At 44.7% G+C, this 19,565-nt stretch overlaps 1 protein-coding gene across 7 annotated transcripts in view, besides 2 other annotated features; it reads right to left on the bottom strand.

Moving 5' to 3' along the window:
* Positions 1-19,565, bottom strand: part of SIPA1L3 (signal induced proliferation associated 1 like 3) — a 301,162-nt gene that overhangs the window by 240,013 nt on the left and 41,584 nt on the right. The gene's annotated exons all lie outside the window — the stretch shown is intronic.
* Positions 4,879-5,379: an enhancer, noted in NCBI's record as "H3K27ac hESC enhancer chr19:38453618-38454118 (GRCh37/hg19 assembly coordinates)". NCBI's record gives its function as "activates a minimal SCP1, AML or CMV promoter by ChIP-STARR-seq in primed H9 embryonic stem cells {active_cell/tissue: H9 hESC(primed)}" and the evidence as "EXISTENCE:reporter gene assay evidence [ECO:0000049][PMID:30033119]".
* Positions 5,853-6,102: a silencer, noted in NCBI's record as "silent region_10561". NCBI's record gives its function as "represses an Ori minimal core promoter by ATAC-STARR-seq in GM12878 lymphoblastoid cells {active_cell/tissue: GM12878}" and the evidence as "EXISTENCE:reporter gene assay evidence [ECO:0000049][PMID:35858748]".

Here is a 19,565-nt window from a genome sequence, read left to right as displayed (position 1 = left end):
CTCATGCCTGTAATCCCAGCACTTTGGAGGCCGAGGTGGGCAGATCACCTGAGGTCAGGAAATCGAGACCCTCCTGGCCAATATGGTGAAACCCCGTCTCTAACAAAAATACAAAAATCCGCTGGGCATGGCAGCGCGTGCCTGTAATCCCCGCTACTCGGGAGGCTGAGGCAGGAGAATCGCTTGAACCCGGGAGGCAGAGGTTGCATGAGCTGAGATCGCGCCACTGCACTCTAGCCTAGAGACAAAGCTAGACACTGTCTCAAAAAAAGAAAGAAAGAAAGAAAGAAAGAGATGAGGCCATCAGAACCCATTAATGAAACTAACATTTACTGAGCACTTACTATGTGACAGGAACTGAGCTAAAGGCTTTACTTGTATGAATCAATAACGTAAGTGGCTGGGCGCCAGGGCTCACTCCCGTAATCCCAACACTTTGTGAGGCTGAGGCGGGTGGATCGCTTGAGCTCGGGAGTTTGAGACTAGCCTTGGCAACATGGCAAAACCCCATCTCTACCAAAAATACAAAAATTAGCCAGTCACATAACCCAGTCTCTAAATAAATAAATAACTTTTTTTTTTAAAGTTTAACAACCCTAGTACATGGGTAATTATCATTCCTATTTTTTTCCATCATGAGTTGAACTGTGTCCCCCTAAAATTCACGTGTTGAAGTCCTAACCTTTGGTGTTTCAGAATGTGGCCTCATTTGGAGATAGGATTGTTGCAGAAGTAAAGTTGGGATCAAGTAGGGTGAGCCCCTAATCCAGTATGACCAGTGTCCTTATAAGAAGGGGAAATTTCCAGCCGGGTGCGGTGGCTCACGCCTGTAATCCCAGCACTTTGGGAGCACAAGGCAGGTGGATCATGAGGTCAGGAGTTCAAGATCAGCCTGGCCAACATGGTGAAACTCCGTCTCTACTAAAAATACAAAAATTAACCAGGCATGGTGGTGGGCGCCTGTAATCCCAGCTACTCGGGAGGCTGAGGCAGAAGAACTGCTTGAACCCAGGGAGGCGGAGGTTGCAGTGAACCGAGATCACACCACTGCACTCCAGCCTGGGCGACAGAGCAAGACTCCATCTCAAAAAAAAAAAAAGGGTGGGGGGGAACTTCCACATGGACACACACAGGGAGAATGCCACATGAAGATGAGGGCAGAGATCAGGGTGCTGCAGCAGAGGCCACGGAATGCCAAAAATGCCCACAAACCACCAGCAGCTGAGGGAGGGGTACAGGACAAAGTCTTCTTGATAGACCTCGGAAGGAACCAACCCAGCCCGAGCCCAGACCTTGATCTCAGACTTCTGGCCCCCTAAACTCTGAGATAATAAATTTCTGTTGTTTAGGCTACCGGGGTGTGGTACTTTGTGATGGCAGCCCTAATAAAACTGAGGTCCAGAGGGGCGAGGTCACCTGCACCGAATTCCCCAGCCACCCGTGGAAACTGGGCCTGTCCGCCCCAGAAGTCTGTGTTCCCAACCACTCCACTGTTGTTCTGCCCTCGCGGGAGCTGCTCCACCCCCACGCCTCCACGCACTCCTGTTTTCCACCTGCCAGACTGACATCTGCCTTTCCCTTCCCCCAGTGCCTGGACAGAGGCTGAGAGTAAGTGGGCATGAATGAGTGTGGGCCTTTGGAGGCAGCCCTGGAGTGGGACAGTTCTGAACAGTGTTCTAAACAGAAGAAAACACTGGGGAGGAGGGTGGAGGCGGATCAAAATCACCTCCCCATCCCAGATGGCTGGCAGGACAGGATCCAGTCTCTCCCATAACAGACTACAGAACAGAGCCTGCCCCAGATGGACGGTGCAGAGGGAGGTGGGCACGGCAGGAGTCATCCAGAAGCCACAGGAATGCTCCTGGATCCCAGATCAGGACTCTGAGACCCACCGCTCCATGCTGGTCTCATAACATTCCTCCAGCTTCCATGAACTGAGGCCCAGTAGCTCTCCACACATGGAGGAAAGGGAGCTCTGTCCAAACCTGTCCTTGCCATCATGAGCAAGTCACTGCAAAGCATCCCTCACTGAGCCCGAGGCAAGGGGACATGTGTGGCTGGCAGGTGCCCGAGGCCACTGTGGCAAGCTGGGAAGGACGGAACCTGCCAGCTCCCTGCAGTGCCGATTCCTCCTCCTGAGGAACATTTCTTCAAACAGATCAGTGTTTCTGGATGAAGGCTGCAGTGGGCAGCATTAAAATCCAAGTGGAATTAAAAACCAATTAGCACTTATTTCAGAAAAAAACAGCGGTGGATCACACGGCAGGGGAACAGGGGGATTCTGTCTGTGTCTAACCAAATGGTACTAGCAGAGTGGGTGGAGAACTGAGCCCGGCACACACTTTGGCCGTGCAAAATAATGTGATAGATCACAGACTGCCAATTCTAACATACACATTTCCCCCAAGTGCCCACCGCACACAAAGATCAGGAAGGTGGCAGGTGCTTCTGAGGTGGGCAGGAGGTGGCAATGCCCAAACACAGAACGCTGGGTCCCAGACATGAAGCCTGGAGAGACAGGGGCGTGTTTCAGGAGGGTTGACGTGGAATTTAATGTCACCCAACACCATTTGATGATACCGACATCAGAAAAATTCCAGATACAATTAAGGAATCTAGAATGCAGGGACTAGGGGTGGGGGCAGGGAGGTGGGTAGAAGACAGTCTGCTGTTCTTTTCCTCAACATTTCATGACAAAAAGTTACAAAGAAAATGTGAATCTAGAAGTTTAAAACAAAAACCAGGCCCAGAGCAGTGGCTCACGCCTGTAATCCCAGCACTTTGGGAGAACGACGCAGGCAGATCATGAGGTTAGGAGATTGAGACCATCCTGGCCAACATGGTGAAACCCCATCTTTACTAAAAATACAAAAATTAGCCGGGCATGGTGGCACGCGCCTGTAATCCCAGCTACTCAGGAGGCTGAGGCAGGAGAATCGCTTGAAGCAGGGAGACGGAGGTCACAGTGAGCCAAGATTGTGCCACTGCACTCCAGCCTGCCAACAGAGGGAGACGCCTTCTCAAAAAAAAAAAAAAAAACTAGAAATATAAAAAGAACTGATAAAATCATAATCCCTGTGGGAAGCAAACATATTTCTTTTCAGGAGAGTAACAGATAAAATTGACCAAAATTATGGCTAGAGAGAATCTGAGTAATACAAACTAGCAAATTTGATTTTAAAAGTTCATATAGAACCCCTTGCCAGAAAACAGATGAGATTAATTCTTTATAAACTATCCATGGGATGGCCATAAAAATTGATCCCATATTAGGAAAGAAATTTTCTTGAATTCCCCAAAACAGATAATTTTCTATCAGAATACTTTCATGCTAATGCATTTACATGAGAAATGAACAATTCTGGAAAAGGGTATAGAGAATTCTATCTAACTCAATGGTTCTCAACCTCAGCTGCATGTCACAATTACCGAGGGAGTCTAATATATGCTGATGTCCAGGCCTCACTCTCAGAGAATCTGATTTCACTTGACTGGGCATCTTACTTTTCAAGGTTCCCCGAGTCTATTTTATGATATTAAGAAATTACTATTAAATGCTGGCCGGGCGCGGTGGCTCACAACTGTAGTCCCAGCACTTTGGGAGGCTGAGGCGGGTGGATCACTTGAGGTCAGGAGTTCGAGACCAGCCTGGCCAACATGGTGAAACCCTGTCTCTACTAAAAATACAAAAATTAGCCAGGCGTGGTGGTGGCACATGCCTGTAATCCTAGCTACTTGGGAGGCTGAGGCAGGAGAATCACTTGAACCTGGGAGGCAGAGGTTGCAGTGAGCTGAGATCGGGCCATTGCACTCCAGCCTGGATGACAGAGTGAGACTCTGTCTCAAAACAAACAAACAAACAAACAAAAAGAAAGACAGAAATTACTATTAAATGCTTTAGCTGTGATAATTATATCACCGTTGTGTTTCTAAAGAGAAATTTTCTCCTTTTATCTTATTTTTTTGAGACAGGATCTTGCTCTACCACCCAGGCTGGAGTACAGTGTCATGAACATGGCTCACTGCAGTCTTGACCTCCCGGGCTCAAGCAACCCTCCTGCCTTAGCCTCAGACCACAGGCATGCACCACCATGCCTAATTTTTAAAAAAATTTTCTGTAGAGATGGGGTCTTGCCATGTTACCCAGGCTAGTCTCAAACTCCATCCTGTCTCCACCTCCCAAAGTGTTGAGATTACAGGTATGAACTACTGCATTCAGCCTCTTCTCCCTTTAGAACTATTTACTGAAATATTTATGGGTGAAGGGAAATATGATATATGGTACTTGCCTCAAAACAATGGGCTGAGGAGTGGGCAAAGTCAGAATATAAACAAAATAAGCTTGGTCACACCTGGATAATATAAACTCCACTTCTTATATGTTTGCAATTGTTCATACTAAAAAGTAAAATTAAAAAACAAAAACCAAACCCAACAACTCAAAAAGCTTCCAAATTGACTGAAATATGTAGCTAGAGCTACATATTTAAAGTTTGGAAATTTGGAAAGACTTCTGGGTATGTCTTAAATTAAAGAGAAAATCAAAAGTCAAAGCTGCTAACCAGACTTCTGGAATGGGGAAGTGGAGAGGAGCTCAGAAAAGTATTTCCCACCAAAATCAACAATGAAAGTAGACAGAATTGCCAAACACAACCATTTGAGGATTCTAGAAATCAACCAAAGGCATATAACTACCCAAGAAGCAGTTACTCAAAAACTCAATAAATAAACGCTGAACTTCAAGTAAGAACAGTGGGAACATGTGGCGTTTAATTTGGGGTTCCTCCCATCACACGCACCAGCTCCATCAGTTTGACCAAGGCAGAGCAAGCCATGAAAACTTTGTGGCTGGACTGGGGCCTAGTGCCAAACAAATGGGGAAGACCAACATCACAGCTAGACTGTGGTTACGATCTGGCTGGAGCCAGCAGCAGGCCTGTAGACCAGCCAGAAATTTAGCAGGAAGATCCAGGGAATGAGATAGCCACACAAGGCCTTGGTAAGGTCCCATGCAGCCCTGCTGGTCTGGAACAATGTGCATATATACAAGGTTGCACACAAGCTCCAGAGAGACTAGAGGGGGCCCTTGCTGTCCACACATCCCTGGCCCAACATGAGGCCTTGAGAGTGTGCAAGGGAGACACCAGATGGCCAGGCAGAAAGTAATGGCTGGGGCCGACTCAGGAACTGCTTGGAAAAAAAAAAGGAAGAAACTGAACTTTGAAAATATTCCCCAACCCACAGACACAGATCCATTGGCAAAGGATGGAAGCTTTATTGGCTCAAGGTGTTTCAGCACAACCTTTAATCTGACCACTAAACCATGCTGAACCAAAGGCAACCCCTAGTAAGTTATGCTTAAAATTAAAACAATTTTTTTAAAAGAGAAAAGAGTCTATACCACAAGGGGACAAACTCCAAAGAATTAGCCCAGGATACTCAGTAAACAAAACAAAAGGAGAAAAATGGCAACGGCAACCATGGCCTGGAAGGTAGAAATCAGAATCCACAGCTGCTACAGTGTATGATCTAAAATGTTCAGTGTTCAACAACAAAACAAACTGAGGCTGGGTGAGGTGGCTCACGCTTGTAATCCCAACACTCTGGAAAGCCAAGGCAGGAGGATCGCTTGAGCCCAGGAGTCTGAGACCAGCCTGGACAAGATAGGAAGACCCCATCCCTACACGTATGCATGTGTGTGCACACCCTCGCCAAACACACAAAGCTGGGCATGGTGTTGCATGCCTATAGTCCCAGCAACTCAGGAGGCTGAGGCAAGAGAATCATTTGAGCCCAGGAAGTCAAGGCTGAGAAGAGCCATGATCCTGCCACTGCACTCTGGCCTGGGCAACAGAGTGGAACCCTATCTCAAAAAAAAAAAAAAAAAAAAAAAGGCCGGCTGCAGTGGCTCATGGCCAAGCACGGTGGCTCACACCTGTAACCCCAGCACTTTCAGAGGCCGAGGCGGGCAGATCACCTGAGGTCAGGAGTTTGAGACCAGCCTGGCCAACATGGGGAAACCCCATCTCTAGTAAAAATACAAAAATCAGCCAGGCGTGGTGGCGCAGGCCTGCAATCCCAGCTACTCGGGAGGCTGAGGCAGGAGAATTGCTTGAACTCCGGAGGCGGAGGTTGCAGTGAGCCAAAATCGTGCCACTGCACTCCAGCCTGGGCAACAGAGTTAGACTCTGTCTCAAAAAAAAAAAAAAAGAATGAAAGAAAAATTGTGAGACACACAAACAGTAAAATGTGACCCATACTCAGGAAATGAATCAGTTAATAGAAATTGCCTTCTAGACGGCTTACAAGTTACATTTCAAACAGCTATTATAAGTATGTTCAAAGATAAATAAAATAACATTTAAAGAATTAAAGGAAAGTAGAAATAATAAATAGAAATTAGAAAAAAAGCAATGGAAATTCTGATAACTGAAATAAAAAATTCACTAGAGGGGCTCAACGGCAGATTTGAAAAGAACCAGTGGGCTTAAAGATAGATCAAAAAAAGTATATAATCTGTACAGAATTTAAATAATCTGTAAGAAAGATTGAATACGAATAAACAGGCCTTCAGAGACATGAGGGACATCATCAAAGGCATCAAGACAGACATAATGGGAGTCCTATGAGAGGAGAGAGAAAGTGCCAGAAAAAAAAATCTGAACAAGTAATAGCCCAAAACATCCCAAATCTGATGGAACACATTAGTTTACACATCCAAGAAGGCCAAGAAACTCCATATACAATAAATAGAAAGAGAGCCACACTGGACACAACGTAGTCAAATTGGTTTTCGTGTTGTTTTGTTTTTAAACATAGTCAAATTGTTGAAAGACAAAGACAAGGAGAAAAGCTTCAAAGTAGGAAAAGAAAAAGTCTACACACAGGGAGCATCAGTACAAATGACAGCTCATTTCCCACCACAAACAATGGAGGCCAGAAGACATCAGGATAGCATTTTCAAAATGCTGAAGAAAAAAAAACTGTCAAATAAGAATTCTATAGCCAGCAAAACTATCCTTCAAAAATCAAGGTGGAGAAGGGCACAGTAACTCATGCCTGTAATCCCAGCACTTTGAGAAGCCCAGGTACGAAGATAACTTGAGGCCAGGAGTTTGAGACCAGCCTGGGCAACACAGCGAGATCCCCATCACTAAAGAAAAATTTTAAATTAAAAAAAAAAAAAAGGGTTGGGCACGGTGGCTCACACCTGTAATTCCAGCACTCTGGAAAGCCAAGGCGGGTGGATCACTTGAGGCCAGGAGTTCAAGATCACCCTGGCCAAGATGGTGAAACCCCATCTCTACTAAAAATACAAAAATTAGCCAAGTGTGGTGGCGGGTGCCTGTAAGCCCAGCTACTCAGGAGGATGAGGCGGGAGGATCCCTTCAACCCAGGAGGTGGAGGCTGCAGTGAGCCAAGGTCACACCACTGCACTCCAGCCTGGGTGACAGAGCAAGACTCTGTCTCAAAACAAAAAAAAATATATTTTTTTTTAAAATTGGCTGGGTGCAGTTGCTCATGCCTGTAATCCCAGTACTTTGGGAGGTCAAGGTGGGAGGATTGCTAGGGTCCAGGAGTTCAAGACCGGCCTGAGCAACATGGCAAAACCTCATCTCTACAAAAAATTTAAAAATTAGCTGAGTGTGAGGCTGGGCGCAGTGGCTCACGCCTGTAATCCCAGCACTTTGGGAGGCCAAGGCAGGCGGATTGCAAGGTCAGGAGATCGAGACCATCCTGGCTAACAAGGTGAAACCCCGTCTCTACTAAAAATAAAAAAAAAAAATTAGCCAGGCGTGGTGGTGGGCACCTGTAGTCCCAGCTACTCGGGAGGCTGAGGCAGGAGAATGGCGTGAACCCAGCAGGCGGAGCTTGCAGTGAGCCAAGATCATGCCACTGCACTCCAGCCTGGGCAACAGAGCCAGACTCTGTCTCAAAAAAAAAAAAAAAAAATTAGCTGAGTGTGGTGGCGCGCACCTATAGTCCCAGCTACTCAGAAGGCTGAGGTGGAGGATCGCTTGAACACAGTAGGTTGAGGCTGCAGTTCAGTGCACTCCAGCCTGTGCTACAGAGCAAGACCCTGCACCAAAATCAATCAATCAAGGCAAAATAAAGGCATTCCCAGACAAAGACTGAGAGAATTCACTGCTAGAAGATTTGATCTGTAAGAAATATTACATAAATCCTTTAGGCTGAAAGGAAAAGAGGCCATATAACTCCAATTTACAATAAGAAAGAAAAAACATGAGAAAAGGTAAATACATGGGCAAATATAAAAGATGGCATAAATACATTTTTTCTTTTCTTCTCGACTGATTTAAAAGATGTAAGATTTCATAAAATAATTATAAAACCATACTGTGGGGCTTGTAACATGTGACAATAATAACACAAAAGAGGGAAAAGAAAATGAAACTATATTAGAGCAAAATTTCTATATTTAACTAGAACTAAGTTTTAATATTAATCTGAAGTAGGCTGTGATAAATTTAGACGCATGCTGTGATCCCTAGAGACCCAATTAAAAAAAAAAAAAAAAGAAAGTTTTTTAAAACCCAACAAAATAAAAATGAAACACTAGAAAATATCTGCTTATCAGAAAGACGGCAATAAAGGGAGAATAAAAGGAGGAAAAAAGATGTGAGGCATACAGAAAACAGCAAAAATGACAGATGTTAATCCAAACACACCAACAATCACATCAAACGTCAATGAATGAAATTTACCCTTTAAAAGTGTGTAATTCACCATCACCACAACCTGAGCTTAGAAAATTTTTATCATCTCCAAAATAAACTCTGTACTCCTAGCAATCACTTTCCATTTCCTGTTCACAGCATCCCCAGCCCTCAGCAAACACTAATCTATTTTCTGTCTCTGTAGATTTGCTTACTCTGAACATTTCATATAAATGGGATGAAGCAAGATGTGCTCTTTTGGGTCTGGTTTCTTTCATTCATGTGTGTTTCAGGGTTCATCCATGTTGTAGTCTGTATCAGTACTTCATTCCTTTCTATGACAGAGTAATATACCATTGTGGGTCTATATCGCATTCTGTTTAGCCAATTATCAGTTGATGGACATCGGGTCATTTTCACTTCTGGGGTTACGAATAACGCTACTCTGAACATGTATGCACAAGTAATTATGTGAACATATATTAGTATTTGAGTATATACCTAGGAGTGGAATTGCTGGATCATATGGTAACTCTATGTATATATTTTTTTGAGTAACTGCCAAATTGTTTTCCAAAATGGCTACACCATTTTACAATCCCACCAGCCATGTATGAGGGTTCCAATTTCTCCACATCCTGGCCAACACTTGTTATTGCCCATCATTTTGGCTCTAGCCATCCTAGTTGGTGTGAAATAGAATCTTGTGGTTTTGATTAGCATTACCCTAATGATAATTATATTGAGCCATTTTCATGTGCTTATAGGCCATTTGGATGTTTTGGAGAAAGAGCCATTCAAATCCTTTGCCCATGTTCTATATTGGGTTGTTTTTATATTGTCAAGTTGTGAGAGTTCTTTGTATATTCAGCACATAAGTCCTTTATAGACATGATTTGCAATTATCTTCTCCCATTCTACGGTTTGTCTTTTTATGTTCTTGATGGCATCCTTTGCATCACAAAAGTTTTAAATTTTCATGAAGTCCAATGTGTCTATTTTTTTCTTCTGTTGTTTGTGCTTTTGTTCTTTCTTCTGTTGTTTGAGCTTTTGTTCTCACCTAAGAAACCATTGCCTAACTCAAGGTCACAAATATATAATCTTATGTTTTCTTCTAAGAATTTTATAATTTTAACTCTTACATTTAGGTCTATGATCTACTTTGAGTTAATTTTTGTATATGGTGTGAGGTAAGGGTCCAACTTCATTCTTTCACATGTAGATAAACATTTGTAGTTTTTGTTTTTTGTTTTCAGACAGGGACTCACTCGGTTGCCCAGGCTGGAGTGTGGTGGCACAATCATGGCTCACTGCAGCCTTGATCCCTCTGGGCTCAGGTGATCCTCCCACCTCAGCCTCCCTGGTAGCTCAAATTACAGGTGCACACCACCATGCCCAGCTAATTTTTTATAGAGCAGGGTTTTGCCATGTTGCCTGGGCTGGTCTCAAACTCCTGGGCTGAAGCAATCCAACTACCCTGGCCTCCCAAAGGGCTGGGATTGCAGGCATGAGCCACCATGCCCAGCCTATTTGTAGTATTTTTGCAACTTCTTGTGAGACTGAAATTATTTCAAAAGAAAAGGTAAAAAAAACTTTAAAGGACTGAAATCATACAAAGTGTGGCATCCTATCTCCAAATATCTCCACTAAATAAGATACTTTTTAGGCCAGATATGGTGGCTCATGCCTGTAATTCCAGCACTTTTGGAGGCTGAGGCAGGAGGACTGTTTGGGCCTGGGAGTTCAAGACCAGCCTGGGCAACACGGCAAAACCCTGCCTCCACAAAAATAAAAAAAAAATTAGCCAGGCATGGTGATGCATGCCTATAGTCACAGCTACTCCAGAAGCTAAGGTGAGAGGATCACTTGAGCTCAGAAGTCGAGGCTGCAGTGAGCTGTGATTATGCCACTGTACACCAGCCTGGGCAACAGAAGACTCTGTCTCAAAAAATAAATTAAATTAAATTAAAAATTAGCTGGGCATGGTGACATGTGCCTATAGTCCTAGCTATGCAGGAGGTTGAGATGGGAGGGCTGCTTGAGCCCAAAAGGCCATGATTGTGCCACTGCACTCCAGACTGGGTAACAGTGAGATCCTGTCTCAAAAGAAAAGAAAAAAGAAAAAAAAGAAAAAAAAATTCCATTCACAATAGCATAAAAAAAATACATAAGAATAAATTTAACATAAGTGTAGACTTGTACACTGAAAGCTACAAGCACTGAAAAGCTGAAAGAAATTAAAGACAATCTAAATAAACAGAGAAGCATTCTTTGTACACAAACTGGAAGACTAAACATTAATATGGCAATTCTCACCATATTGACATGTAGAGTCAACACACAGTCTATCAAATCCCAGCAGGCTTTTGTGCAGATATTGACAAGGTGATCTGAAAACTTGTCAGTATGCAAAGGACCCACACAAGCCAAAACAATTTTGGAAAACAAAACAAGGTGAGGACTTAACACTTCCCGATTTCTAAAGTAACTTTAAAGCTACAGTAATGAAGACTGTGGCACTAGCAGTAGGATAGACATTTAAACCAATAGATCAGAAGAAACAAACCCTTATATTAATAATCAAATGACTTTTACCATAGTGCTACCTAATTCAGTGGAGGAAAATGGTCTTTTTTTCAACAAATGGAGCTGGGATAATTGGATATTAATACGCAAAAAGATAAATTTAGGCCCCTTATGTAATACACAAAAATGATATCAAAATTAATGATAGATTCAAAGGCAAGAGTTAAAAGTATGCAACTTCTAGGAGAAAACATGAAAGAAGAACTTCATGATACTGGGTCAAAGAGTTCTTAAATATAATACCAAAAGCACAATCCATAAAAGACTAATTGATAAACGGAATTTCCAAAATTAAAAACTTTTATATTAGGGTGGGCGTGGTGGCTCACACCTGTAATCCCAACACTTTGGGAGGCCAAGGTGGGCGGATCACTTGAGGTCAGGAGTTCAAGACCAGCCTGGCCAACATGGCGAAACCCCATCTCTACTAAAAATACAAAAATTAGCTGGGCATGGTGGCGTGTGCATGTAATCCCGGCTACTCAGGAGGCTGAGGCAGGAGAATTGCTTGAACCCGGGAGGCAGAGATTGCAGTGAGCCGAGATTGTGCCACTGCTCCAACCTGGGTGACAAGAGTGAGACTCAGTCTCAAAAAAAAAAAAAAACAAAACTTTTATACTTCCAAAGGCATGACTAAAAAAATAAAAATATTTTCTGGGAAAAAATATTTGCAAACTACATATCTGATGAGTGTTATCCAGAACATATCAAGAACTCTTACAACTCAATGAAATAACAAGATTAAGAAATAGGCAAACAATACAAATACATATTTCACCAAAGAAGATACACGAATGGCCAATAAGCACATAAAAAGATGATCAACAGCATTAGTCATCAGAGACATGCAAATCACAACTACAATGAGATACCACTGCACACCCACCAGGATGGCTGTAACAATAAGCGTTGGTGAGGATAAAGAAATACTGGACCCCAGCCAGGGGCGGTGGCACGCACCTGTGGTCCCAACTATTCAGGAGGCTGAAGCGGGAAAACAGCTTGAGCCCAGGAGTTTGATACTGTAGTGCGCCATGATCACGCCTGTGAATAGCCATTGTACTCCAGCCTGGACAACATCATGAGACCCTATCTATGAAAATGGCGCAGCCACTTTGGAAAACAATCTGGCAGTTTCTTAAAAACTTAAACAGAGTTACCAAATGACCCAGTAATTCCACTCCTGAGCAGAAATGAAAACATGTCCACACAAAGACCTGAACATAAATGTCTATAACAGCACTACTCATACTAGCCCAAACTGGAAACAATCCAAGTATCCATTAACGAATAATGGTAATGAAATTATCCATTCATGGTTAACGAATAAACAAAATGTGGTTTACCCATACAATAGAATATTATTCAGCAATAAGAACAAATGAACGACTGATATGAGCTATCACCTGGAGGAAGCGCAGAAACATTATGCTAAGTGACGGAAGCCTGGTACAGAAAAGACTACATACTGTATGACTGCATGTATTTGAAATGTTCAGGAAACGCAAATCTACAGAGACAAAGAGCAGGTTAGTGGTAGCCTGGGCCTAGGCGTGGAAGCAAGGACTGCCTGCAAAGAGGTACAAGATGGATATCTTTTGGGGTGGTGGTAATATTCTAAAACTGGATTGTGGTGATAGTTATGCAGCTTCACAAATTTACCAAAAACAGCTGAATTGCATACTCTTTTTTTTTTTTTTTGAGACAGAGTTTTGCTCTTGTTGCCCAGGCTGGAATGCAATGGTGCGATCTTGGCTCACGGCAACCTCCGCCTCCTAGGTTCAAGCGATTCTCCTGCCTCAGCCTCCTGAGTAGCGGGGATTACAGGCATGTGCCAACACACCTGGCTAATTTTGTATTTTTAGTAGAGACGGGGTTTCTCCATGTTGGTCAGGCTGGTCTCAAACTCTCGACCTCAGGTGATCTACCCACCTCGGCCTGCCAAAGTGCTAGGATTACAGGTGTGAGCCACCATGCCTGGCCTTTTTTTTTTTTTTTTTTTTTGAGAGACAGCATCTCACTCTGTCACCCAGGCTGGAGTGCAGTGGTGTGATCCCGGCTCACTGCAACCCCCGCCTCCTGTGTTCAAGCAATCCTCGTGCTTCAGCTACCCAAGTACCTGGGACTACAGGCATGCACCACAATGCCTGGCTAATTTTTGTATTTTTAGTAGAGACAGGGTTTCACCATGTTGTCCTTGCTGGTCTCGAACTCCTGGCCTCAAGAGATCTGCCTGCCTTGGCCTCCCAAAGTACTGGGATTACAGGCATAAGCCACTGCGCCCAGCCTGAATTGCATATTCTGAATGGGTGACTTTTATGGCACGTGTGTATATATACACACATACAGGCGGTGGTGGTGACAACTTCTGTAACCTAATCACCTCTGGACTTCCCACTCCATATGAAACCGCCTGGTTCTTAAAGCCGAGAGGCTTCACGCTTGGATGTGCTTATCACTAGGGGTTTACGGAAACTTAACAGATACAGGAGTATCTTGAAAACAGTGTTTTCAAGGGAAGCAATGTTCAGATCCTCAACATCCACAAGTTCCTCTTCCTAAAACTGATCTGGCTGCAAACCAGCCTGTCTCCTTCCCCACTGCCCACCCGCTGTTGTGCACTCCCCCATTTTCCCAAGGAGCACGACCGAGAGGTGTGTAAACCTCCAGGACTCCAAACACACAACATCAATATTGGTTTCGGGGAAGTAGCCTTTAGTGAACAATAAAAAGCTACTTAAACCCCCAGACTTGCCTGTCTTTCCCTGACTTAAGTATCTTTCTGCCAAACATGAAACTGGGCTTTAAAAATAGGATTTTCTGAACCATAGTAGGATCATGAATGTCAAAGCAGTATAGGTTAGTGGCTCTGATTTGTTCAAAGGGAACATTTTTCAGGACCACTGAATTTTTCTAGATCCACCAAGAAAAAATTCCCAGGGAAAAATTTACATGATTGCTTTCAGCTTCTGTGTACTTTACTCAATAAGGTAGTAAAAACTTTTTTTTATCTAACCACATCATAAAATATTTCAATTACATTCGACCTTCAAAATGTGTACTATTTTCTTCTCCCACAAATAAGACAAATTTAAAGTTACCATAAGCTTATTTTAGATGTTAGCTTTACAGTGTACAAGGAGGTATACAGGGGCTTATCAAAATTCTTTTGGGGAGGATGCAAGCAAAAATGTTTAACGATGATCAGATTAAATTTGAATAATCCTGGCTAACCCATGCCCTAATTCCTGGTGGCTGAGCTGTAGGAACTCAGCATGGGGCACAAATTCTGGGGAAAGCAAGATTTCAGACAATGGCAAAATCACACGTGCCTGGGGGTACAGCCAGCAGCGAGGAGTCAGTCAGGCCTCACAGCCCCTTCTTTCCCAGCTTTCAGGGGCCTCAAAAGCAAAGCTGCTCAAGGGAAGATTTGAAAAGGGATTTTCTGAACCGATAGGTCAATTCAAAAGATTTCCTTTCATTCGAGTAAAAGGGCTTTCGCCCCTCCTTCACCTCAAGTAAGTTTGGCACGCATGCACACACATACACACACACACACATGAGGAATGCATTCACCTTAAATTACCTTGAACTAAGTCAGTGATTACCCTCTTGAATATTTCCCACTATTAGCAAAATTCCTCCTAAGAGCAGACTTTGTTCCGAATTGGTCATGAACTCTATCCAGCTCTTTCCAAAGTTACCTGGGGAGGTACACACTGGGTCAACCATTATCCTAATAAAGTGCACAGATCTGACCAAATTCCTCCTGAAACATGATGCGATACGCCAGGTTTAGCGGCCAGTGTGCAAGGCTGGGTCATGGGCAGGAAAGGAATGTTTTTTTCCAAAGAGGAAAAAAACTGCAGACTTAAACTCTACTTTCATTCATTTGAGAAGGATCCTGGGCCCCCTCTATGGATAGGATTGTAAGCTGAGAATGCGGGTTCACGCCATTCTCCTGCCTCAGCCTCCTGAGTAGCTGGGACTACAGGCCTCCGCCACCACGCCTGGCTAATTGTTTTTGTATTTTTAGTACAGACGGAGTTTCACCATGTTAGCCAGGATCTCCCGACCTTGTAATCCACCCACCTCGGCCTCCCAAAGTGCTGGGATTACAGGCGTGAGCCACCGTGCCCGGCCAAGAATCCTCTGTGCATACACACACTCTGAAGTGTATGCAATCACCCAGGATGGTGTTCAAAATGCAGATACCCAGGCCTCAGGCCCCAAACCAGAATCTCCAGCAATGTGGAACAGAGCTGCTGTATTTTAACAAGTTCCCCAGGCCAGTCTGTTGATCACATAAAGCTAAGAACCGCCACTCAGGAAAGTCTAGCAAAGTGGTTCTCAAATATCTGATTCATACAAATCATTTCTGGAGAATTATTTATTTATTTTTATATTTTATTTTATTTTTGAGACAGAGTCTCACTCTGTTCCTCAGGCTGGAGTGCAATGGCACGATCTTGGCTCACTGCAACCTTCACCACCCGGGTTCAAGGAATTCTCCTGCCTCAGCCCCCTGAGTAGCTGGGATTACAGGTGCCTGCCACCACACCTGGCTAGTTTTTGCATTTTTAGTAAAGACAGGGTTTCACCATGTTGGCCAGGCTGGTTTTGAACTCCTGGCCTCAAGTGATCTACCCACCTCGGCATCCCAAAGTGCTAGGATTACAGGCATGAGCCACTGCGCCTGGCAGAGAATTTTTTAAATTTAAATATAGATTCTAGGGTCCACTAAAATTACTGTATTACTTAGGACTCTTTCGGTTGCAAGTGGCAGAGACCCAATTCAAACTGACTTGAGGGGAAAAAGGGCCAATGTTTTGGCTCCCATTACTGAGAAGTTCAGTTACCCAAAGAATTTGTCTGTAATGAATTATTTCCATCTCCTTTCCACTCGACCCTCTGAGCAAAGATGGTCCCCAGGCCCCCAGCAGCATTAAGCTTACACTCTACAACTTGGCACCTCCATAGGAAGAAAGCTCCTCTTCTTTCCTGGGAGCTCCAGAGAAAGACCTGTCTTAATTCTGATTGGACTGACTCACCTCCTCCCTTCCTTGAACCAATCCCTATGGCAGGAAGATAAGGAATGACCTGAACTGCCCAGGCTACTCCTAAGGCATTTCTAAGTCCAAACCAGGTAGACCAGGACATTCCACAACAGTGGGGCTTTTTTTTTTTTTTTTTTTTTTTGAGACAGTCTTGCTCTGTCGCCAGGCTGGAGTGCAGTGGTGTGATCTCGGCTCACTGCAGCCTCCGCCTCCTGGGTTCAAGTGATTCCCCTGCCTCAGCCTCCCGAGTAGCTGGGACTACAGGCGCCCGCCACCATGCCCGGCTAATTTTTTGCATTTTAGTAGAGACGGGGTTTCACTGTGTTGGCCAGGATAGTCTCTATTTCCTGACCTCGTGATCCGCCCACCTCAGCCTCCCAAAGTGCTGGGATTACAGGTGTGAGCCGCTGCGCCTGGCCCGGGGCTTTTTTTAAGTTGTTTTTTTTCCCACTTCTGTTTCTAAAACTTCCTTCTAGAAAATGTGAAAAATATACAAAAGTTTAAAGAGGAAGATGAAAATAATCTGTAAAGAGGAAGATGAAAATAATCTGTAATCATCCTACCAACTAAAATTTTTAGATCTTCACACTCAAAGCTGTGCACATGAGCACTGGTCTCCTGATTAGAATCCTATTCTGTACAAAGGATGACACTGTGGTTGAGTCTTCATGACAATTCTCCCAAAACTGAAGATAAACATTGTAGTCATTTTCATGTTTGTTCAGCCAACACTGGTTTGCTTCCCTTTTCCAGTTAATTTGCTCTTGTTTGTAACCCCTCAAGATGTGGGTATTTCCTAAGAAGAATCTCTGGATCACAGTACAATTATAAAAATCAGAAAGTGACAGCCTTACGGTACTGTGATCTAACGGACAGACACAATTCCAGTTTCAAGGGCATATTCCAGATTCCCTGCCATATCCCCAGTGCCTGGGGTAAATAATAAATTGCACACAGCGGTCTCAGTAAGTGAACGGACGGGATGGAGGAAGAGCAGTTCCCAACAGGAAAACCCCAAAAGAATGGTGAATGGTTGTAGGGCGGCCAAACCAGCAGATGATCTTCCTCTCCACCTGCGGGAGCAGATGCTCCAGGAGTGAAGCCAGAGAATCCCAACTGTTACCAAGATTCCCCAGGTGATGCCAACCCACAGCCAGGTTTAAGAATCACCGTCTGGGGAATAGATATAACCAGACACAAACACAGCATTTCCCCAGAAGCTTCTTCCAGATCTGCCTTTCACAAGAGAAGAAGGAAAAGTGCCGCATGCCGGGGTACTGGGGACAGGCGGATCAGACCTGGGAGGGCTCGCAGCGGAGGGAGCAGCAGACGGGCTTGTGGGGAGCAAGCGCCAGTCTCGGCACAGAAGGGCCCCGCGCAGCCTTCATGACAGAGGCGAGGCAGGCCCTAGAACCAAGCCCGCCATCAGCTCGCGTTCAAGTGTGATCAGGAGCTGGGGCTGCACTGAGCAGGGAACTTGGGATCTCTTGAATTTCCAGTCGCCCCAAATCTCAGACGACAAACGTACATCCAATGATCGAGCCCTGTAAGCTCTTTCTTGTCCTTACTACGCAGATGAAGAAACCAAAGCTGTTACTCACTTGGGCAAGGTCACAGAGCTGAGATCAATCCTACGCTCTTTATTCCCAAGTCCTATCTTGAACTGTAGAGCACCATCCGGCCTCAGGAAGGAAAAGTAAGGATGACAACGATGATGATGAAAACTAATACTTTGAGTGCTTACTGTGTATCAGGCTCAGACTGAGTCCTTTACCTAAGTTTGTCTAATGCTCTGAACCACACCCTGAAGTAAAAGGCTTTAGCATCCTCATTTTACAGGTGAGAAAACTGCAGCCCCAAGAGTGAGGTGATGAGTCCAAGGTCACACAGCTAGCAAGTGGCAGAGCTCTGAATCCAGACAATGTGGTCACACTCTTTTTTTTTTTTTTTTTTTTTTTTGAGACACAGTCTGGCTCCATCGCCCAGGTTGGAGTGCAATGGCGCCATCTTGGCTCACTGCAACCTCTGCCTCCCGGGTTCAAGCGATTCTCCTGCCTCAGCCTCCCGAGTAGCTGGGACTACAGGCATGCACCACCACGCCCAGGTAATTTTTGTATTTTTAGTAGAGACAGGGTTTCACCATTTTGGCCAGGATGGTTTCAATCTCTTGACCTTGTGATCCGCCTGCCTTGGCCTCCCAAAGTGCTGGGATTAAAGGCGTGAGCCACTGCACCCGGCCAATGTGGCCATGTTCTTAACCATGATATGATGTTGCTTCATATGAGAAAAGGGAAATGTACCCTAGGCCAGGACAGCAGGGGAGTGGGTCTTTCAGGCTTCCTAGAGTCCCCTCTCCAACTTTTTTTTTTTTTGAGACAGAGTTTCTCTCGTCTCCCAGGCTGGAGTGCAATGGCGGGATCTCAGCTTACCGCAACCTCCGCTTCCCAGGTTCAAGCGATTCTCCTGCCTCAATCTCCGGAATAGCTGGGATTACAGGCGTGCGCCACCACACCTGGCTAATTTTGTATTTTTAGTAGAGATGGGGTTTCACCATGTTGGCCAGGCTGGTCTTGAACTCCTGACCTCAGGTTAGCCGCCCACCTCAGCCTCCCAAAGTGCTGAAATTACAGGTGTGAGTCACTGTGCCTGGCCTTATAGTCCCCTTTGAATGAAAACTGTGCATGTACACAGGCACGGGTGGGATGGCCATGCTTATTCTCCAGCCATAGCTCACTGGATGAGAGGTGACCATCTGTGGTTGCGACCTGGAAATCCCATAAAAGAAGGAGCAATGAGGTGGCCAAATGCCTGGAGAAACCCAAAGAGAGAAGAAAGCAGAGATAAAGAAGAGACAGAGATGGGAGATGGAGACAGAAAATCGCCTAGGCCTCAGGCCTATCGATCCTGATGCCAGGAGACAGTGCAAGTCCTAGGCCTCAGGAGGCATCTCACAATTCTTTGAGGCTTAGGTGGGTCTAAGGTGGGTTTCTGTTATTTTCAACCAAAAGAACCTAAGGTCCACCTGGCTCCCTCTCTGATGCCATCTCCTGCCATTCTCCCCCGCTGCCCTCCTGCCACAGTGGCATCTGTGAATTGCTGGGAACAAGCTCTGGAAGCTCCAGCCTTGGGGTTTGCATCTGTGGTCCTGCCTGGAATGTGCCTTCCACGGCTGGCTCCTTATCTTTCAGGCCTTGACTCAAAGGCAACCTCTTTAGAGGCCTGCCTTGGTCACTTCTAATAAAAC

The sequence above is a fragment of the Homo sapiens genome, chromosome 19 (assembly GCF_000001405.40).
Source record: "Homo sapiens chromosome 19, GRCh38.p14 Primary Assembly".
NCBI lineage: Eukaryota > Metazoa > Chordata > Mammalia > Primates > Hominidae > Homo > Homo sapiens.
Note: the sequence above shows the minus strand (reverse complement) of the source record. Positions and strands in the feature narration are given on the sequence as shown.